Consider the following 24,089-nt stretch of genomic DNA (forward strand, 5'->3'; position numbering starts at 1 on the left):
ATACTGTGAGCATAGTTTCCTTATATTATAAATTATTTATAAATATAATTTCTTTGACAAATGAATTACACACGAGTCAAATATTTGAAATGATACTGAAAGATACTTTGATGCATGTACTATTGTACATTCATGTATACAATAGCACATGTATCAACATATTTTTCCCCAGGTACTGCTGTGTATGTGAATGTACAGTAGTACATGCATCACGATATTTTCCCCTACCTCCTTTTCCATCTCTGTGAATTTGCCTATTCTGGGTACCTCATATAGGTGGAATCATACAATATTTGTCCTTCTATATCTGACTTGTGTTACTAACATAATGTTTTCAAGGCCTATCCATTTTGTTGCATATATTAAAATTCGAATCACTTTTGTGGTTGAATAATATTCTATTACATGTTTATATGGCATTTTGTTTATCCATTCATTTGTTGATAGTTACCTGGGTTGTTTCTACATTTTAGCTATTGTGACAAATGCTGCTATGAACTCTGATAACCAAACAATCTACTCCAGTCTCTGCTTTCAATTCTTTTGCATTTATACCTAGGAGTGGAATTGCTGAGTCATATGATAGTTCTAGTTGAAGAACACACAAAATCTTTCATAATCAGACTCTTGGATTTATTTTATTTATTACTTATTTATAACTCACCACAAGTGAGTTAGAGCATGTTTTCATTAATATATGCTTGGTGAAACATTTGGATTTTCTCTTCTATGAATTATCTTTCCATGGCCTTTTTCAATTTTATTATTGGGTGACTTGTTTCCTTCTTTTAAAACCTCTGTTCATTATGAAATTTTGCCTTCTGGCTAAACTCTTTATTAAATTTATAACACCCCCCACACCAAAAAAAAAAAAAAGATAGTTCTATGTTTAACCTTTTAAGAAACAGAGAAACTATTTTCTACGATGGCTGCAGCATTTTTGGGGGGCTCAGTGTCTATTGTTTTATTTCATTTCCGGTTGCAGCATTTTATATTCCCACCAGCAATGTACAAGGATTCTCGTTTCTCCACAGCTTGTTTTTTTTCCATTTGTTCATTTGTTTATAGCCATTTTAATGGGTCTGGGTGGTTACACATTGTGGTTTTCATCTGCATTTCCCTGATGACCAGTGATGTTGAACATTTTATCGTGTGTTTATTGGAAATTTGTATATCTTTTCTGCAGAAATGTCTGTTAAAGTCCTTTGCCCATTTTTGAACTGAGTTTTTTTGTTGTTGAATTTTAGAGTTCTTTATATATTCTGGATATTCATGCCTTATCAGATATGTGGCTTGCAATATTTTCTCCTATTCAGTAGGTTGCCTTTTCATTCTCTTGGTAGTATCCTTTGATGCTCAAAATTCTGAATTTTGATGTAGTGCAACTTACCTATTTTTTCTTTTATCGCCTGTTTGCTGTGAACTTTTTTCTTTTAACCAATAGGAACTTAAATTACATTTTAAAGAGTGAGTCCATTAGATATATTGAGTTTATCTGCAAGTTTGCAGAATGGAATAAAGTGAAGCTTCCCTGCACTTCTGAGCCAAGTGCCAGCGAGTCACGCGTGGAAGGATAGGGCTGAGGCTGCCTTGGCTGCTTGGCTGGGTGGCTGGAGAGCACACCTGGCAGAAGATCACTTGGTTCTTAAGTAAGGACAGCAAAACTGGCTTCTTCTTGGTTAATTCACAGATGGTAAAGACAAAGAGATGTTCTGTGTTTGAATATGTGTAAATACCTTAGATAGTGCAGGAGTCACAGTTGATGGTAGACACAGCTTGTTGGACTTTAGAGGTGGAGATTTTTGGACCTGAATCCTAGTTCTGCCACCTACTAGGTATGGACCCCAGAAAAACAATCTTCTAACGCAGGGGTCCCCAACCCCTGGGCCATGGACCAGTATCAGTCTGTATAGTCTGTTAGGAACTGGACCACACAACAGGAAGTGAGCCAGGGGCCTGTGAGCCAAGCTTCATCTATATTTACAGCCACTCCCCACTGCCAGCATTACTGCTTGAGCTCCGCCTCGTGTCAGATCGGCAGCGGCATTAGATTCTCACAGGACCCCGAGCCCTATTGTGAACTGTGCATGTGAGGGATTTAGGTTGCAGACTCCTTATGGGAATCTAATGCGCGATGATCTGTCACTGTCTCACATCACCCCAAGATGGGACCATCTAGTTACAGGAAAACAAGCTCAGGGCTTCCACTGAGTCTATGTTATGGTGAGTTGTATAATTATTTCATTATATATTACAATGTAATAATAATAGAAATAAAGTGCACAATAAATGTAATTGGCTTGAATCATCTTAATACCATCCCCCCCATCTCGGTCCATAGAAAAATTGTCTTCCACAAAACTGGTCCTTGGTGCTAAAAACGTTGGGAGCTGTTGTTTTAGAGCCTCATTTTTTTTTATTATGGGGTTTGTAACATTAAATACTTAAATGGTAGTCCTAAAGATGAATCCTATCTAAGGTAAACAAAATGCCTCATGGTACCTGGCATATAGTAGGTGCTCAATAAATCATAGTAATTATTAAAGGAATGATGACAAATCAAGTATTAATATCATTTTTAAATGTAAAAAGGATAATAATATTAATAACAATAACAAACACTATTTGAAAAACATTATCTTTAGGTGTTCACATCTCTTAACTCATTAAGGTCTCATAATAATCCTATGAGGCATAGATTATTATTACTCCCATTTTACCAATGAAAAAATGGAAATACGGAGAGATTAAGAAGCTTACAACTGATCGAAATTGCAGACCTGGAATTTGAATCCAGGCAGCTGTTTTGCATGGAATATTTCTCACTTCCATTAAGCCCAGTGGATTCTTTTCTGTCTTTAATTATGTTGCTTGTACTCAGAGCAAAGGGTACTGATCCTGCCATTAGGGCAGAGGCTGGTAGCTGCTTTCTCTTTGTGCCGCCAGGATAGCATTTACTGTACCCTCCCTTGCGTGTTCTAGCCTGTGGCTAAGACATCGTTTGTGACCTTAGAGAGATACCAAATAGATGCTGTGGTTCTAGACTTTGCTTCCATCCACCACTAGGCAAAGCCTGTCCCAACCTCATTGAAACAGAGGTAAAGTCATGCCCATGGGGCACTTTTTTTTTTGTTTGTTTGTTTTGAAACAGAGTCTCACTCTGTCACCCAGGCTGGAGTGCAGTGTCACAATTTCAGCTCACTGCGACCTCAGCCTCCGGGGTTCAAGTGATTCTCATGCCTCAGCCTCCCCAGTAGCTGGGATGACAGGCGTGCGCCACCATGCCTGGCTAATTTTTGTATTTTTAGTAGAGACGGGGTTTTGCCATGCTGTCCAGGCTGGTCTTGAACTCCTGACCTCAGGTGATCCGCCTGCCTCGGACTCCCAAAGTGCTGGGATTACAGGCATGAGCCACTGTGCCCTGTCAGAGGACACATTTTTAATTTTCAGAAACATCACCTATAATTTCACCATCATTATTAACATTTTGGCATTTTTCTCATCTAGTCCTTTGTGCATTTTCCCCTACTGTTACCTCACTACTGAAATTTTACTTTATAAGCAGTTTCATATACTACTCTTTTGTTTAAGACATTATGAGCATTGTTTCCTTGTATTATAAATTATTTATAAATACAATTTTTTGACAAATGAAAGAATTACACACTTCAACAAATATTTTAAATGATACTGAAAGATATTTTGATGCATATACCATTGTATATATGAATGAATTTTTTTTGTTGACATAATAGATCATATGACAGACACTATTCTACACTTTTCCTTTTTTTTCCTTCTCTACTTTACCCCTAAATACAGAGAAACATACAAATTTGAAACTAACATTTCCTTTTTATTTTCACCAAATCTCCTTCATTGATTGATATTTTTCTTTTTCTTTTTTCTTTTCTTTTTTTTTTTTTTTTGAGACAGAGCCTCGCTCTTGTCACCCAGGCTGGAGTGCAATGGCACAATCTCAGCTCACTGCAACCTCTGCCTCCCGGGCTCAAGTGATTCTCCTGTCTCAGCCTCCCGAGTAGCTGGGATTACAGGTGCCGGCCACAATGCCGGGCTAATTTTTGTATTTTTAGTAGAGACGGGGTTTCACCATGTTGGCCAGGCTGGTCCCGAACTCCTGACCTCAGGTGATTCACCCACCTCAGCCTCCCAAAGTGCTGGGATTACAGGCGTGAGCCACTGCCCCCAGCCATTAATATTTTTAAATACAAAAGTAATACATGCTTATTCTAACAATTGAAATCATATAAAGATACACAAAGTAAAAGCAAATCATCTCCTTTAGCCTCATCTTCAACCCCATCGCCTTGAGCTGCCAATGCTAACACCTGTTGTAGACTTTCCAATTTTTCCCTTGTTCTTTCAAACAGATGCAAATGCACATTTACATATAGGTAGATTCTTTTTTGGTTTGTTTTTACCCAAATATAATTGAAGTAAACCCATTAGTCTACAATTTGTTTTTGGATCTCCCCCAACACCAGGATATACCGGGAACATTCCTAACAATTCAAGACATATGGCTCAATTGTATATTTTTTTCTTTTCTAATTTCTTTCTCTTTCTACCACTACCACAAGTGTGTGTGTGTGTGTGTGTGTGTATTTGGTCTCACAAGTCTTATTTGCAGTTTGTCTTTGCTGGCACCTCTGCCCACCTTGTTAATAGGCCTACATTTGTTCCAGGATGTTCCTAGCTCCTAATCCTACCCGTCTAGGTGAAAGGGGTACCACCTAACTGAACACACTTGAGAGACCCAATTCAACCTGATGCCTGATCCTTGAAGTTAAAGAGAATGGGGGACCTGTGGCCCAGCACTACTGCATGTAGAAAACCATGGAGCACTTATTTCCTGAGCTTCTAGGCCCAGAGTCTTTGAGGGAGGATGCTGTGGATAAAAGAGAGCCAATAAATAAAACCCCTTTCTTCCTGTGAGTTCTGCATCAGTCAAGATATAGAAACAGGGGTCAGATGAAAATATTACCTTACTGATGAGCTATGCTAAGGACACAGCTTGGAACTACAGCCACCATGAGCTCAAATCAAGTTACCCATCCATCCCCACTCCGATGCGTACCCATAGTCAGAGCTCGATGACCCCTTCAGACTCTTCCTAGACAGGGGGCTAGGTTTGGCTGTTCCTCCTTCCCAATCTGACCACTCAGAGACGCCACTCAGAGACACCAGGCTTCCTGATTTGTTGAGGAGTGAGAGAGTTGGAAAAATTGGTAGTTGAAAACATGGGTAGATGTTTACTCTCCTACTTCTGCAAGGGTCTTTTGAAAGGGAAGAAGTTCCAACTTTAAGGGCTGAAGCAGGAAGGTTTGGATGGGAGATACTCCCCTTAGATGACATGCTGAAGGGTGAGTCATGCCACACAAAGTAGTTTCTACTTCAATCTGTTGTTCAACAAATATACTCTTATCATTATGATCATACCAGACAGGTACTACATATCCAGCTGGGGATGGTGTACATTTTGAGAACATCTCTCAAACCTTTAGTGGCAGCTGCACTTCTGAGAGCATGTTTTCCCCCCATGAGGTTTCGCTGGAAAGACCCAGAAATTCTGAGCATGACTGTTGCACACCCACGTTGCAGGAGGATGGGGACAGGGTGACATGCACCCAGAGACAGCATCCACCCACAGCTCCATTTGCTCAGCTGCCAAATGAGGTGGTTGATTCAATTATCTCCCTAAGGACCCAACTGTGTCAAACTTCTGTCATTCTGAAACACCACCACCCCCGTAACTGCTGAGGACCACCTTGTCCATAAATAAACTGGCAGAGCTAGGTAAACTTGCTGAATTTCCAAAGGCCAAGACACCAGAGAGTTCTTTCAGTCTTGATCAGGACAGGATTGTACTGCTAAGCCAAGTAAGCAAGGTTGGGACACATCACTACTGCAAATATGACACTCTCTGTACCTGTAAAAGCCACCTCATAGGGACTATAAACTGGTACAGCCTCTTGAAAGTATTCATCAAAGTAAAAAAATAGACACCTCTCCTTTGTTATGGTTTGAATGTTTGTGTCTGTCCAAAATCCATGTTGGAATCTAAGACCCAGTGTGATAGTATTAAGGGGTGGAGCATTTTGGAGGTGAATAGGCCATGGGGGCCCTGACCTTGTGAATGAAATTAGTGCCCCTATAAAAGAGGCTTCAGAGAGCTGCCTGGCCCTTCTATCTCTTTTGCTGTCTGATGACATAGAGTTTACCCCTTCCACCATGTGAGAACATAGCAAGAAGGTGCCATCTTGGAAGCAGAGAGCAGCCCTCACCAGACACCAAGTCTCACCTGCCAGTGCCTTGATCTAGGACTTCCCAGCCTCCAGAACTGTGAGAAATACTTTTCTATTATTCATAAATTACCCAAAGTCTCAGTCTGTTTTGTGCTGCTATAGCAAAATGCCACTGACGGGGTGATTTGTAAACATTAGAAGTTTGTTTCTCACAGTTCTGAAGGCTGGGAAGTTCAAGATCAAGGCACTGGCAGTTTTGGTGTCTGGTGAAGGCTTGGTCTTTGCTTCCAAGATGGTGCCTGGAGCATTGCATCTTCCCGAATGGAGAAACACTGTCCCTCACATAGCAGAATAGTGAAACAGCCTACTGTTGAAAGTCCTTTTACTAAGGTATTAGGCCAGGTGCAGTGGCTCATGTCTGTAATCCCAGCACTTTGGGAGGCTGAGGTGGGAGGTTTGCTTGAGCCCAGGAGTTTGAGACCAGCCTGGGCAACATAGCAAGACCCTGTCTCTATAAAAATAAAATAAAATAAAATAAAATAAAATAAAATAAAATAAAATAATTAGCCATTCATGATGGTGAGCACCTGTAGTCCCAGCTACTTGTGAGGCTAAGGTGTGAGGATCGATTGAGCCCAAGATGTTGAGACTGAAATGAGCCATGATCGTGTCACTGCACTCCAGCCTAGGCAACACAGCAAGACCCTGCCTCAAAAAAAAAAAAAAATAGTTAAACCCACTCATGAGGGTGGAGCCTTAGTGTCTTAATCACCTCTTAAAGGCTCCATCTCCCAATACAATTACATTGGCAATGTATTTCAACATGAGTTTTGGAGGGGGATAAACAGTCAAACCATGGCACCCAGTCTCAGGTATTTTGTTATAGAAGTACATATGGACTAAGACACCTTTGATCCAGCAATTTTACTTCAGGAAATTTATTTTATAGAAATAAATTATACACATCTCCAAGGATAACTGTACAAAAGATATGTATTGCAGCATTCCGTGTAATAACAAAAAACTCAAAATAACTTAAATGTCTATTAATAAAAGATAGGTTAAATAAATATGGTTCATATATAGAATGGGATAGCCATGCAGCTATTAAAAAATATAATAAGGAGACTCTGTAGATACTGACATGGAGAGCTGTCCAAGACAGAGTTTGATTGAAAACAGTAGGATGGGCTGGGTGCGGTGGCTCACGCCTGTAATCTCAGCACTTTGGGAGGCCGATGCAGGCGGATCACCTGATGTCAGCAGTTCCAGACCTGCCTGGCTAACATGGTAAAATCCCGTCTGTACTAAAAATACAAAAATTAGCCAGGTGTGGTGGTGTGCGCCTGTAGTCCCAGCTACTCAGGAGGCTGAGGCAGGAGAATTGCTTGAACCTGGGAGGCGGAGGTTTCAGTGAGCCGAGATTGTGCCACTGTACTCCAGCCTGGGTGACAGAGCCAGATTCTGTTTCAAAAAAAAAAAAAAAAAAAAAAACAAGAAAAAGAAAAAAAGGAAAGAAAAAAGAAAACAGTAGGATGTCCACTTTATGTGTTTAGTGTGACTACATTTTTTTGATGTGTTGGTGGGGAGTACTTGTATATTCTTAGAAAATAAAAACACACATCCCAATCTCTTAACAGTGTCTACCTTAGGGGTCTGAATTGTCTGCATTTGGGTGGGGTTATTGGAAAATATTGGACTTTTATTTTATTTTATTTTTTTATTTATTTTTGAGACGGAGTCTCGCTCTCTCACCCGGGCTGGAGTGCAGTGGCATGATCTTGGCTCACTGCAACCTCTGCCTCCCAGGTTCAAGCGATTCTCCTGCCTCAGCCTACCAAGTAGCTGGGACTACAGGAGCCTGCCACCATGACCAGCTAATTTTTGTATTTTTAATAGAGACAGGGTTTCACCATATTGGCCAGGCTTGTTCGAACTCCTGACCTGTGATCCGCCCAACTTGGCCTCCCAAAGTGCTGGGATTACAGGCGTGAGCCACTGTGCCTGGCCTTAATTTTAATTTTTATATATGTCTATACTCTTCAGTTTTTTTTAAAACAATAAACATTTATTTGTTACTATTATTTTTACTTATAAAAAATACTTTTTAGAGACAGTCTCATTCTGTCACCCAGGCTGGAGTGCAGTGATGTAATCATAGTTCACCGTAGCCACGAACTCCTGGGCTCAATGATCTTCCCACCTCAGCCTCCCGAGGAGCTGGGACCACAGGTGCGTGCTACTATGCCAAGCAGCATTTATTTTTTATTTTTTGGCACATACACAGTCCCCTCAATCCTCAGAGGAGGAAGAGATAGCCTTGGCCTCTGCTCCCCTGCTTTCTCATCATAGAACGTAAGACAGTGTCAGGGCTGAGTCAATGGAAAGGAAATGTGTTAAATCGAAAACATTAAGGTGACATCACCTTGTTGAAAGCCCTCAGGGACATCTTTGACATCACTGACAGACAGGTCCATTCCAGAGTGCATGGGATTTGATTTGTAAACTAGAGGTTTGATGGGTCTGAGTTCACAGGTAGGCAAAAATGCTGCTCCTCTGAATGAGAAAACACTGAAAACAGCACCCAGCCCACGCATCACCCAGTTTTAAATATCTCTTGGTGGGATCATTTCTGAGCCCCACTATCTTGTGGCAAACCACGTTTTCCATGGTGCCCAACAAGAGTTTACACACCTGCTTGTTTTCTATGATTTACTTCTTCTATGGCTGTATTTGTGCAAACCATACACAGTGGTTGACAGAGAGATGAAGGTACTCGCCTTTCTATGAATGGTTGAGAAACTGTCTACAAACCCTTTCCTGGGTGGGTAAACTCGATGTTGCCTGACCTCACAAATGTTAAGAAAAATAAGATTACATCACAGTACTATCCAGGCCCCAATTATGCTGGATCTTTCCACCCTGTCAACTGTAGAACCCCAAGAGCCTTTCAAGGTTAGTCTTCTCCTTCCTGTAGAATGCCTGGGAGTTCCCTGGAGGTATCTTTAATGTAGACAATGATCTTTGGCAGCCTCTTGTCCCACCACTCTGTGTTGGCCTCTGGGGTATATGTCTCTTGGGATTCTCTTCCCACTCTGGCCAGAACCACAGCTTGCTGCTTGTAGGGCTGCTCTCCCCAGGCACCTGTGGCCTCCTCAGTGGGGCTGCCTCTCACACCACGGATGCAGACATAATCACAATTTTTTTCCCTAGTGTGCTTCTAACTAGATGGAACTCAGTGGGTAATAGAGGATACTATGGTATGGAATGCCACCTAACTCAACAAGCTATATGCATCTGAATCTCTGCTGTGGGAAGCTGAGACCCTCCACCATACTTGTGAAGCACTGAAAGGACCCTCCAGTGGCAATGTGAAAGACTATTGGGTAAGACAAGTGAGGAAAAAAGCAATAATGAAAGAAAAGGAATATAGCTGAAGACTAAGAGGGGCAGCAGGTAAACTGCTAAGAGAATGATGAAAGAATTTTAAGGCTAGTGGGTCAAAGATTTCACTGTTTCAGTCTTCAACCGGAGGCTGAATGAGTATCTCTGAGGGATTCCATGGCGAGAGGTTTTACAGAGTAAATCTTTGATATTTGGGAAAAATACTTACTAGAGTATTTACTAGTACTTACTAGATACTTTGGAAATCCCCACACATACAGATACCGTTATAACAGAATTTAATGTTAGAAATTTGGGTCAGAAGAAAAATATTAGGGCCCCAGCAAAGTATGTGAGTTGGGCATTTAGCAAGGCCAACTCTTTAGCCAACTGACCTGCTCCTTCACCACTGGCTCAAAACTTGGATTCAAACTTGTACTCCCTCATAATTACAAAAGAGTATGTCATGGATTTTGAGATCATGTGTCAACAGCTGCAACTGAGAACATCATGCAGCAGAGTGCTAAGGATCTATTATACAGTGCAAGGAGTTGTGTTGGGCCATGTCTAAGAGCTCTCCCAATTTGGGATTATCACAATGAAGTGTGACATTATTTTCCATCATACTTCATTGACCTAAGCAATTTACCCACAAAGGCTAGATCTTCAGTTCACACCCTGAACAAGTCCTGTCAGCCTGAGAATCCCTCTAGATGAGCCTGTTTCTTTAAAACAGTTCTCAGCCTTCTCCTGGGCTTCAGCCAGGCCTTGATGGCCAGGGATGGATTCTGTATTTTTCCGTGCACATAGAACTTCTTTGTTCCTTCTTTCTGACTTATTTTCCTCCCAAATAAAGGGCAGAGGAAAGGAGATTATCGAAGAAAGTCTGGCAAATGGGATGCAAGTTATCCAGTTGTACTATTCAGTGGGAAAATCTGGCTGTAAGCCTAGGAACTTAAAATGATGTTTCTAGATTTGAAAATATAATCTCAAAATGCTTCCATTTTGTGAAGGGTCAGTCCCCAGCCTCCATGCATAAAAGATAGACGGGAAGGACTAGGCAGGTGGAGAGTCATGATCGGGGGTACAGGGAAGAGTGAGGGCTTTTAGAAAGTGGTGTGGCTATAGTTCAGAGTCCTCACCCACCTGGGGTCGGGAGCTGTGGGTTTTCCTGTAGTGCTGCCTCTGAGCACTGTAATCTTGGGCACATCACTTTGTTTCTTTTCACAACTGAGTATCCTCAATGTAAAGATAAGAAATTAGGCTGGGCATGGTGGCTCATGCCTATAATCCCGGCACTTTGGGAGGCCGAGGCGGGTGGATCACCTGAGGTTGGGAGTTCGAGACCAGCTTGACCAACGTGGAGAAACCCCGTCAGTACTGAAAATACAAAAAATTAGTCAGACATGGTGGCACATCCCACTGTAATCCCAGCTACTCGGGAGGCTGAGGCAGGAGAATTGCTTGAACCCGGGAGGTGGAGGAGAGCCAAGATTGTGCCATTGCACTCCAGCCTGGGCAACAAGAGCAAGAATTTGTCCCCCCAAAAAGAAAAAGAGACATTAGACCAGATGTTCTAGAAGATTCCTTCCATCTCTATCAGCCATGGATCTATGATTGTGATTACCACCCCTTCTAAGGAGCAGATTATAGAATGATGGATTTAAGACAAACTTACTAGTTGGTAGAGGTGAATAAATACCATTGAATTTATCAATGAATAATTGTTCCAAATGTAATCAGCTATTTGTCTTTTCTTATAAAACAATGTACACTGGATTTTTGGTTTTAACATTAATAAGAATGTAAAAAATATTTTAATTCACTTTTCAAAGTGCTTTCACTGGTATAATTTTTTAAGGTACTCCCGTCACAAAGAGGGAGTTAAATATGTGGGCCTAGGCTGGGCGTGGTGGCTCACGCCTGTAATCCCAGCACTTTGGGAGGCCTAGGCAGGCAGATCATGAGGTCAGGTGATTGAGACCATTCTGGCTAACACAGTGAAACCCCGTCTCTATTAAAAAATACAAAAAATTAGTGGGGCGTGGTGGCGAGTGCCTGTAGTCCCAGCTACTCGGGAGGCTGAGGCAGGAGAATGGCATGAACCTGGGAGGTGGAGCTTGCAGTGAGCCGAGATTGTGCCACTGTACTCCAGCCTGGGTGACAGAGTGAGACTCCGTCTCAAAAAAATAAAATAAAATAAAAAACGTGTGCCTAAAAGGCTGAACTCAGTCCGGAATTTTCACCACAGTCTCTTATTTTGGCAATAGAGAGATGCAAGAAGTATTCTTTCTGGGATGACATATTCTTTGCTGGCAGCAGGCAGGTGCTGTGGTGTGTCCCTGGCCATCTTGGTCCCACAGGCCAGCTTTGTGGGATGAGAGATGGACCTTGGTGACTTCTTCCTCTAAGACATTGCAGACCTACTTCACTGCTTCTCATTTCTAGACAAAAGCATTATCTCGTAGCAGCACCTGGAAGCCACTACAGTGGGTTGGCCTTTGGTCCCTTTTGAGAGTAACAATTTTTTGTGGAAAATGTATTTTAGGAAACCTTGTGTCTGGGTTAGGTGGAATCATTAGCAATGATTCCATCACATACTACATTCTCTTCTCTGCCAATGGCTTTTTGATCAATGGCCTCTGTATGACAGTTTATGAGATATTGAATAGGCTACATGGGCCCATTCATTGTGTGGATAGCTTGCTCCTGCAGCAAACTGCAGGCCCTACATCTAGCATACAGGGCAGACCAAGCACTCCCTTGGGCATTCTGAAGGTTAGAGGCCACCTTATACTCTGCCTGAGACAGTGGCTTTCTTTCTTGTGATAATAATGTTTTTATTCCACTGAATCCAGGTACGTGGAGAAATTTCAGAATAATCAACTTATTTGTTTTTGTTTTTCTTATAAAAGTGTTGCACAGACTAAATGCACTAATTTAGGAAGATTGCATAGATCAAATCTTGGTAGAAGTAAGCACTCACATTTTAACTATTATTATTGTTATCATAGATTGTTTGGCACCAATGAGCTGCAAGTTGCAACGCAACTCAATCTGAAGAGAAGGCCCAGATACCCTCTAGTCTAACCTCTCACTTTGCAAATGAGTGAACTGAGGTCCAGGAAGGAGGCAAGGCTTGCCCAAGGTCACAGAATTCACTGGTAACATAAATATAATTAAAAATTCGTGAAAAATATTTACTTAGATATGTATCTTTGAAGCCAGCCAGCGTTTTCCAGCATTTTTTGAGACAATGAAGTGGCAGGATAATCCTGGGTCCCCTAGAGAAATTTTGGAAAGGTTCTCCTATATAATAAAGTCACTTAAAAAGGAAGAATTCATTGCATTTTATCCAACTGACCTGTGAGGTCCCTCCACGGAACTCCAAGGAGCCCCCACTTATTCTGGCCCTGGGTTCCTTCAGAGGTGGCTAGGCTAGAGCTGTGTCTTGGGATTCCGTACAACTGCCACCGCTGGGAGAGATGGAAGTTCTCCATGTTTATGGGAAGCCGAATTCCTCCAATAATAGAAGAGAAAGAAACAAAGTTTGTTGGAATTTTTCATGAATTCTTCCTTTTTAAGTGACTTTATTTTATAGAAGGCATTTGTATTTAGTTTGCTAGGACTGCTGCAGCAAAGAACCATAGACTAAGTGACTTAAACGACAGAAACACATTGCCTCACAGTTTTGGAGGCTGGAAGTCCAAGATCAAGATGTCGGCAGGGTTGGTTCTTTCTGAGGGCAGTGAGGGAGAATCTCTTCCAGACCCCTCCCCTGCCTTGTTGTGTTTTCTGGCCACATTTGATGTTCCTTTGGTTATAGAAGTAATACCCCAATCTCTGACTTCATCTTCATGTAGTGTTTTCCCTGTATGTGTGTCTGTCTCCAAATTTCTCCCTTTTATAAGAACATTTGTCATGTTTGATTAGGGCCCCCTCTAATGACCACATTTTAACTTGATTATCTCTTTAAAGATGCTATCTTCAAATAAGATCACATTCTGAGGTACTGTGGGTTAGGACGGCAACATATGAATTTCTGGAGAACATGACTCAACCCCATAACAGCATTGAATAATTTAGACAAGTGAGGATTGTGTCTGCTTCATTTACCATCGCATGCCAAGCGTCTAGCACAAAGCACGTCACATATTGGGCTCTCAAATATTTGTTGAATTAATAAACACATAGTTATCCTTATCTAATTATACTTGGTGTTTTTCAGATTGGCTTTTCATGAGGTGTTAATTTTCCCTCAAAGATGCAGATTATCCTTGGTGATGTGGGAATTGGAAGACTGTGCACTCAGTAATCCCCCATCCTCAGGGTAGCTAATTTCATGTCAGCATCTTCTCACACAAGCACTTTAAATTGCACTATTTCCAAGTGGTAAAACTGACTGACAATGACTTTTGTCTGTCCTGTCTGGAGCCTGGTGGTGGGTACATTGAGCAATGAATTGATCTGAAAGCAGTGGCGGTAGGAAGAAGAAAAGCTCCTGAATAACAGAGTTGGCAAATGCCTTCCCTGGAAATCCTATTCTGCCTTTGACTTCTGATGATACCAGGGTAGGATGACACAGGAACATCTGCATGGTGCTGGCCATGGGAATGCTGCCTGGGCGGATGGGGAAGTTCTCACAAACGTCTTTGCAACTGGGGAAAAGCCAGTTCTTACCTATCTGTGTCCCATCTGCAGGAATAGTAATGCCTTACAAAATTAAACCTGGACTCAGAGGCCCAAGTAGTAAATCCTGTGTCAGTCCTTTATATTTCCTATTAAAGTTGTCCATGCACATAAACAACAGATGGAAGAGATTAACAAGACGTATTATATTCAAGTACAATAAATTGGTCTGAAAGGTGGATGTCATGCTCTTATTGGGCAGAGTGTAAGTTCGGCTCAAATGCAAGGCTTTATTGTAGTGTGCTATGAGACTGCCTGGGTATTTGGGGAAAGAGGACCCAAGTCAGGAACCGAACCCATTTTAGACACCTGTAGAGCCTTTCCAAAAAATAAGAGCATCCAGATCATGCCCCTTGAGCTGTGTTAAGAACAGATGACTATAATAAAAGCAAAAGAGCCCATGACACAGGATCTGGTCACTTGTTTATTTCCACGTATTTTGCTCTGTTATGTTTTGAAGTGGGTGAACTGGGCTGTGCGAGTTTGCCTATGTGGCCATCTGGGCAAAAACTGGAGAACAGATTTCAGGCCCCCAGTTCTTCTGTTTGATTGGAAATTAGCTTCCTCCTTGGACTCCAATTTGCAATGTTTAATGGAATAGAAATGATTGGGAGCTCGTTGTTGACTGTTCATGTTAGAGAGAAGCTGTACTTAGTGCCACACTTCAGCGCTTTGCCCATTTATTGGTTCACTGCAGTGAATGTGAATAGATTGCTGCTCCTAGGCACTTAGACACAGCATTCTGGGGTTCAGACCAAGACCAAGACTCCGATGAGTCTGAAAGAACACAAGACAACTAATTAGCTGTGGGGCTGTTTTACCTTCCAGCCCCAAGAAGTCAGCCCAAGTCCAGCCCATGTCAGAGGATATGGTTCAGGGTTCAGAGGGCAGCGAGGGCATCTGGACCCTTTGAGAAAGGCCTGTGCATTTTTAGGTCAGTGTCTACCTCAGTGAACAGAGAAGTTAATCTTTTCATGATGAATTTGTATCGCCAGAGGTGCCCTACAACAAGGATGAGGCTGGGACCCGGACAGCATATGTGTCTCTTCTGAGCTTACACTCTTTATGGAACACTCTCCAGGACCATGTTCCACGAGCTGCTGGCATGTCCCACTGCTTGTAAAATTTCAGAAGGTCTTTGACTCCAGGCTAAACATCCCAGGTGCATTCTGTTTCTTTTCTGATCTAGTTTGTGTCCTCTGACAGGTCTTGGCCAATGTTTACTGGTAAACATCTGTTTATCTGTGTCCAAGTAGGCAGCCAGCACTTCATATAGCATCTGGCTTAGAGTGGAGGTCCTATTCCCACTACTTTGGTGCTACATTTCTATTAATACCCTTTGAGATCGTTATAAGTTTAAACACTTTTATTAAGAAATTTTGTAACATACAGAAAAGTACAAAGAACAATATAACAAACACTTGTGTACCCATTCCCACCTCCATCAAAAGCCTTTTATTTATATTTATATTTATTTACTTATTTGAGGCAGAGTCTCTCTGTTGCCCAGGCTGGAGTGCAGAGGCGCGATCTTGGCTCACTTCAACCTCAGCCTCCCGGGTTCAAGCAATTCTCTTGGCTCAGCCTCCCGAGTAGCTGGGACTACAGGCATGTGCCACCACACCTGGCTAATTGTTTTTTGTTTTTTGTTTCTTTTTTGTATTTTTAGTAGAGATAGGGTTTCACCATGTTGGCCTGGCTGGCCTTGAACTCCTGACCTCAATTGATCCATCTGCCTTGGCCTCCCAAAGTGCTGGTATTACAGGTGTGAGCCACCACACCCGGCCAAAAGTCTTATTATTCTTGCCATCAAATCTCAGTGATACACCTGTTATGTGTTCAGAACCCCTCATATCCTAAACCTTCTCTCTTGCTCCTTCCTCCTTTCCTGCCCCTCCTCCCCAGAGGTACCCATTATCCCAAATTTGGTATTTTTCAGTGTCATTTTTTTATACTATTACTATATTTGTATATCTCTTTAAAAAAATAGAGCATTGTTCCACATATTTTTGAATTTTATATACATGTTATAATTCCTTCCATAACTTGCTTTCTTATCTAATCTTTGTTCTTGAAGATTTCTCCATGTTGTTTTATTTTTTACTATATTGCTGTATAGTATTCCATTTTATAAATACATCACAATTTATTTATCCACTCTCCATTTGATTGATATTTATATTGTTTCTTTTTTTTCTTGCCTTTTACAAAGTACTGCAATAAATATTCTAGCACCAGCTGGGCACAGTGGCTCATGCCTGTAATCCCAGCACTTTGGGAGGCTGAGGTGGGCAGATCACTTGAGGTCAGGAGTTCAAGACCAGCCTGGCCAACATGTGAAACCCTGTCTCTATCAAAAATACAAAAATTAGCTGGGTGTGGTGGTACACAGCTGTAATCTCAGCTACTTGAGAGGCTGAGGCAGGAGAATCGCTAGAACCCAGGAGACGGAGGTTGCAGTGAGCCGAGATCATGCCACTGCCCTCCAATCTGGGTGACACAGTGAGACTCCGTCTCAAAAACAAACACAAACAAACAAACAAACTAACAAAAAAGTAGCCCTGGCCCAGTGGCTCATGCCTGTAATCCCACTACTTTGGGAGGCTGAGGCAGGCAGATCACCTAAGGTGGAGAGTTCGAGGCCAGCCTGACCAACATGGAAAAACCCCGTCTCTACTAAAAACACAAAATTAGCCAGGCGTGGTGGTGCATGCCTGTAATACTAGTTACTTGGGAGGCTGAGACAGGAGAATCGCTTGAACCCGGGAGGCAGAGATTGCGGTGAGCCAAGATCTCACCACTGCACTCCAGCCTGGACAATAAGAGTGAAACTCCATATTAAAAAAAAAAAAAAATAGTATATATATATACTAGTACCTGTCTTCTAGCATACAAATGGAAGATTTATTTTCTATCATGTGCACTTAGAAGTAGAATTTCCGGGTCTACTGCTGCCTAGTGTTCGTAGCTCCCCTTACATATGCGAGGTCTCCTTTCTCCACGTCCTTACCTATCCATGATGTTGCCACACCAACATTTTTTCACCAGTCTGATGGTGTCCGTTGCTTTAATTTGCATTTCCCTAATTATCAGGGCTGCTGAGTGTGTTTTCCACATGCTTATTTTCAGTTTCCTTTTTTTGTGGTTTGCCTCTTTCTATACTTTGATGCCTTTTCTATGGACCTTAGTCTTTTTCTTTTTCATTTGTGGAAATCCTTTTAAAATTTTGGACATCACCCTTTATTAAAGTGCTGTAAGTATCATTTCCCAGGCTGCACATTGTTGTCTAACTGTTTATGTGTCTTTTAGTGAACAAAAGATTTCTATTTTAATGTCATAAAATACACTTTAATGATTTCCCCTCTTTCTTTCTTTTTTCTAAGGGAAATATTCTTACTCTCCAGAGGTTATAAATGTTATTCTATATTTTCTTCATTAGGTTTTATAGGTCCCTCAACCTTAATTTGGGTTTTTAATTAACCTGGAATTGATTTTTGTGTGTGGTGTGATGTAGGAATCTAATATTCTTGTATTTTTCATAAAGATCACCAATTGCCCCAGAACATTTTTTGCACAATACGATTTCCCCATACTGATCCAATTCCACTTGTAAGAGCAAGGCAGGGGATGATGGTAGTGGGGCCCAGGGAAGACTAGGAGCTGAAGAGGGGCCACACTACAGGAATGATCATCTAGGGAGATGTAGTTTATGGTAGAAACGTGCCAAAGTAGGAGCGTGTGGGGGAATAAATATCTTGACATCTGTCTTCTCCAGGCTTTCATTTTTTTTCTTTTTTTTTTTTGCTGTTATTTCCCATTGGTTAAACCCCAAAGAAGTTAAACCCAGAGGGCAAGGGTGCCTTGATGATGTGGTCTGTAGGGACAGACCTCCCCAGGGCTCAGAACAGGGCAGTGAAGGGCAGAGAAGGGATCCCAGTGAGTGCAAATGGAAGGTGGCCCACACAGATCTCCCCGGCGTGCACTGACCTCATTTAATGTGTCCTTCTCCCAGAGATGCACCACCTGTTTAATTATAGTTTTACCACCTACATATGTATTGAGTATGTTTTGGAGGTCAGTTTTGAAGTATTGGGGAGCCAGCCCAAATCTAGCTGTGCAAAGAAAGAGCAATAGTTCCACAGCCAGAGAATAAATGCTGAATAGAGTCTTCGGGTCACGCTGTGGCTTTAGATTTCTTGAGAATGTATAAGAGCCCCGTCTGGAGAAAGTGATCCTTGGCTACCAAGCTTCTATAGTTAAAAGTAGGAGATTAAAAAGGAGGTCAGAAGCACTGAGAGAATGAGGGAGACTGGTCATCACTTGACTTCACCATGGAGTGACCTCAGTGGGCTGTTTATTGGGGAAACCCCTGATGTCAGTCTCTTTAGGTCTTTCCTCTTGGGCTATCAGATTCCATGGAGGAAAGTCTTATGATCTCCTGTCTCAACCAAGTTGCATATGACACATGACCTCCCTGTTTGGAGCAGGGCACCTGTATCTTCAGCTGTGTCTGGTGGCCCCCAGTGTAGAGGTCCTTTGCCAGGATGGGAGAGGGTGGTTATATGCAGTGTGGAGTACCAGGGGGACTCTATGGATTTACTGTTTCTCAAGCAGCTTTCACCAAATCCTGCTTCATGTAGTACCCCCTTGCTTTCCAATCTGGAAGTATTTGGTACTGCCAGCGTCTTAGCCCTATAGAATTGCCACCAAGTCAACCAGGTTTGTTCCCAGTTCTTCCCACTGCAGGTTTAGGATGTGCCTGTCACAGATCTGCAGAGTCAGTTATGATTCCGCCACCTGCATTCCAGCTTCCGTCTCTTATTGTTGTCTCCTCCTCTGTCCTTTCTGTTGTGCTTGTGCCTTTCTGTCTAAAAACAAAAGGCCAGGTGCCGCGGCTCACACCTGCAATCCCAGCACTTTGGGAGGCCAAGGTGGGCAGATCACCTGAGGTCAGGAGTTTGAAACCAGCCTGACCAACATGGTGAAACTCTGCCTCTACTAAAAATACAAAAAAAAAAAAAAAAAGAAAGAAAGAAAAAAGCCAGGCATAGTGGCACAGGCCTATAATCCCAGCTACTCGGGAGGCTGAGGCAGAGAATTGCTTAAACCAGGAGGCAGAGGTTTCAGTGAGCCGAGATCACACCACTGCACTCTAGCTTGGGCAACAAAAGTGAAACTCCATCCGTCTCAAACAAACAAACAAACAAACAAACAAAAACAAAAAACAGATGAGGTCTCACTATATTGCCCAGGCTGGTCTTGAACTACTGGGTTCAAGGTATCATTCTGCCTCACCCTGCAGAGTAACGGGGATTACAAGTGCAAGTCACCACACCTGGGCTTTCTATCCTTTTAAGAAATCCTTTTGGCTGAGGAGGGAGGATGGCTTGAGCCTGGAAGGTAGACTGCAGTAAGCCATGATCATGCCTCTGCGCTCTAGCCTGGGCCAAAGAGCAAGACCCTGTCTGGAAAAAAAATCCTTTTACTACAGTTTTATAAAGTGAAGTTTCTGGAGGGAGAGAAACTAGATGTGTGTGTTTAAACATCCTAATACAGAGTCCTTTCTTCCATTTTCTCTAAATTTATTAGCTTTGAGAGATGAATGATTTATTAACTTATTTTCTTTCTTTTTTTTTTTTTGAGATGGAGTCTTACTCTGTCACACAGGCTGGAGTGCAGTGGCACGATATCGGCTCAAGGCAAACTCCGCCTCCCGGGTTCAAGCGATTCTCCTGCCTCAGCCTCCCGAGGAGCTGGGATTACAGGCACCCGCCACCACGCCTGGCTAATTTTTGTATATTTAGTAGAGACTGGGTCACCATTTTGGCCAGGCTGATCTTGAGCTCCTGACCTCGAGATCCACCCGCTTCAGCCTCCCAAAGTGGTGGGATTACAGGCGTGAGCTACCGCGCCCAGCTTATTAACTTATTTTCAATCTTTCTTGCTTTTTAAATAAGTGTATTCAGTTATCAATTTCCCACTAAACAGTCATTCCACAAATTTTGATATTTAGTATTTCCAGTATTGGCAAGTTCCAAATATCTAACCATTTCCACCATGATCCTACTTAAGTTTATGAGTTACTTAGAAGTGAATTTTTAAGTTTCCAAACATATTGTAAAACAATCTTTTTATTATTGATTTCTGGTCAACACATGGTTAGGGAATGTGGTCTGTATGGCATGGATTCTTTGAAATGTATTGAGATGTCTTCAATCTCCTAAGGACCTGCATCAGTTTTTATATATGTTCTATGTGTGTCTGAAAAGGATGTAGAGTCTGCATTTGTTGGTGAAAAATTCTATATTTGTCTATCAGATGGGACTTGATTTTATTGTTCTAATCTTCTGCCGTTACTAATTTTTTTAATTGGCACAATCAGTTTCTTCTCTGTGATTATTTTTGATTTTGTTTTGTATATTTGAGATTTTGTTGTTACATACATACATATTTATTACTGGTAGATTTTCTTTTTTCCTTCAACTTTTAAGTGCCGGGTGTACAGGTGTGGGATGTGCAGGTTTGTTACATAGGTAAACATGTGCCATGGTGGTTTCCTGCACAGATCATCCCATCACCTAGGTATTAAGCCCAGCATCCGTTAGCTATTATTCCTGTTACTCTTTCTCCTCCCACCACCCCTCCAATAACAGGCCCCAGTGTGTGTTGTTCCCCTTCCATGTGTCCATGTGTTCTCATCGTTCAGCTCCCACTTATAAGTGAGAACATGCAGTGTTTGGTTTTCTGTTCCTGCATTAGTTTACTGAGGATAATGGCTTCCAGCTCCATCCGTGTCCCTGTAAAGGACATGGTCTCAATCCTTTTTATGGCTGAATAGTATTCCATGGGTATATGTACCACATTTTCTTTATCCTATGACTGGTAATTTTTTTCCATTAAGCTTTATATAATGTCATTCTTTGTCCCTGTTGATGCTTTTCCTTTACTTTTAATTTTGTCTGATTTAAATGTCACTCCCAGAACTCTGTTTCTTTCTACTAGGTTTCTCATAGAATATATTTTCCACTCATTTATTTCTAATCTCAGTCTCGCTCTGCATGGGTATGTGTGCTTTACATGTCTTTTGTAAGCAGCATAGAGCTGCATTTTAACAAAACTTAAATTTTATTTATTTTTGAAATATGTGATTCCTCATATATTGTCAAATTCTAAGTATACTAAAGAGTAAACAGTGAACGATCTCTCTCTCATCTCTTTTTCCCATCTCCCCAGTCTTTCTCTCCAGAGGTAGCCAATATTAACAGTTTCTTGCTGCAAATAATCATTGTGAATATAAGTAAATATATTCTGTATATTCATTCCTTTTATGGTGGCAGTATAGGCACTGCTAAGTACTTTGTTTTTTCATTTATTAGCAATTTAACTGTGAATAAAGAGCTTCCTCATTCTTTTCAATGACTGCATATTAGTTTATGAATGTTTCCTTATCTATTTAACCTACCTCCCATCAGAGGACTTTTAGGTGGTTGCCAGTGTTTTACTTTTACAAACAATGCTGTAACGAATAATCTTAAACAAACATTATTTAAACATGTGCAAGTATATCTATAGGAGAAATTTCTACAAATGGAATTGCTGAGACAAATGACTTCCGCTTTTGTAATTCTAATAGATATATAGAGATTGCCTAATTTTCTGGCATCGAGTCTTGCCAGTTTACTCTCCCACCAGCAAAGGCTGTCCTAATTCATACTCCTACTTGCTGGTTTTCCCACTTCCTTGCCATAGCAGCCAGCGGCCAGTCAAGAAAAGGAGACGTCTCTAGGGATTTTGAACAGAGGGGGACATAAAATGGGAAATGAGTACCCAGGTGATGGGAGAGCTGGAGAGGTTAACATGGGATAGTGAGGCAGCCCAGGGCAAAGGCAACAGCAGGAGCTGCTCTCCCCAGAGCTAGAGAACCACTTGGCAACATCATAGGTTCCAGGAGGCAGGGCCATTGACGAAGCCAGGACCCCAGCAGGCCTGCCTGGCAGGAGCTGGTGATGGAGTGAGGGGCTGTCAGGAGGGAGTGGAGGAGAAGTAGCTGCTGATGGAGACGCCTCCTGAAGCAAAGTGGAGGGGAGGAGTGCCCCGGCCTCTACCCTCCTGTTTTCTACCAGTGTCTCCCATTCCTGCAAACCACCTGAATTCAGCTTGGGAAATAAATGCATTTTCCCATGATGCAGACCAGAGTGGAGAAGGATGGAGAATGGATCTGGGAACAGCAACAACAACAAATCAAAAATAAAAAGTATGGCTCCATCTATTCTTTTCTTTCTTTCTTTTTTTTTTTTCAGACAGAGTTGCCCAGGCTGGAGTGCAGTGGTGCAATCTCGGCTTACTGCAACCTCCGCCTCCCATGTTCAAGTGATTCTCCTGCCTCAGCCTCCCGAGTAGCTGGGATTACAGGCACCCGCCACCATACCAGGCTAATTTTGTATTTTTAGTAGGGATGGGGTCTCACCAGGTTGGCCAGGCTGGTCTCGAACTCCTGACCTCAGGTGATCCGCCCACCTCGGCCTCTCAAAGTGCTGGGATTACAGGAATGAGCCACCGCCCCTGGCCTGGCACCGTCTAATCTTGTTGCTCTCAGCTTCATATTTAACTGCCAGACAACAACGACTTGGCGCTTCTACCCAACAGAATGTAACTGTACTTTGTGCCAACTCTGACACTTTAGCCCAGACCCCAAAAGGAGATGAGTAAAGTCCCATTCTCACTATGTGCACCTCGATAGTCCAGGGTCTCAGGCGTGGACGTCGTTCTTCCGGTTGTAAACGTAATTACTATGAACATCTCTCATGCAAAACTGTCAGGGAATGAGAAAGAAAAAGAAAAAAATGGGTTAATACATGCCTACAGAAGCAGGTGTAGCTGTTCAGTCCCCATGTCTGCCACTGGCCATGAGGTCGAAGTTGACATTTATCGCTCTCTTCTTCCACCGCTCATTGCATAATCCCGTTGACCTCTGCCAGCACCTGGCTGTTTGGAAATCGTTACCTGGAGGAGTGATTCAAGTCTTTATTCCCAAAGGGTCTGGTTTCTTAATAGTCCTGTCTTTTTATTCGATTTCCCCTTCAGGTCTGCAGTGCCTTCCATTGTCTTTTACTGTTGGTGATGAAATACTAAGAGGCACTGCTGAGAATCTCTTCAGTTTCAGATGTAGACTTCCCTGCCCCATCATATAACAGAAAGCCGATTTTCTCAGAGAAATTGAGATTACTCTCCGCAGCCAATACGACGTTCCTCGTGCCATCTTTCTCTGCCTATTGATTTGGTGGCATGAGCATCCCAGAGCAGCCCGATGGTGGTCTCAACTTCCAATTCTGTGAAACCATTGTTGTATCTCTGGTGGGTGCATTTTTCTCTTGGAAATCAATCCTTTTTTTTTTTTTTTTTTTTGAGACGGAGTTTTGCTCTGTCACCCAGACTGTAGTGCAGTGGGGCGATCTCGGCTCACTGCAAGCTCCACCTCCCGGGTTCATGCCATTGTCCTGCCTCAGCCTCCCGAGTAGCTGGGACTACAGGTGCCCGCCACCACGCCCGGCTAATTTTTTGTATTTTTAGTAGAGATGGGGTTTCACCATGTTAGCCAGGATGGTCTGGATCTCCTGACCTCATGATCTGCCCGCCTTGGCCTCCCAAAGTACTGGGATTACAGGCGTGAACCACCGCGCCTGGCCTCTTTTTTTGTTTGTTTGTTTAATATAGAAATCAATACTTCTAATTGGGCAGAATGGAAGGTTG

At 42.3% G+C, this 24,089-nt stretch overlaps 1 annotated feature.

Moving 5' to 3' along the window:
- Window positions 5,452-5,821: an enhancer, noted in NCBI's record as "active region_27193". NCBI's record gives its function as "activates an Ori minimal core promoter by ATAC-STARR-seq in GM12878 lymphoblastoid cells {active_cell/tissue: GM12878}" and the evidence as "EXISTENCE:reporter gene assay evidence [ECO:0000049][PMID:35858748]".

Source organism: Homo sapiens, chromosome 8, assembly GCF_000001405.40.
Source record: "Homo sapiens chromosome 8, GRCh38.p14 Primary Assembly".
Lineage (NCBI taxonomy): Eukaryota > Metazoa > Chordata > Mammalia > Primates > Hominidae > Homo > Homo sapiens.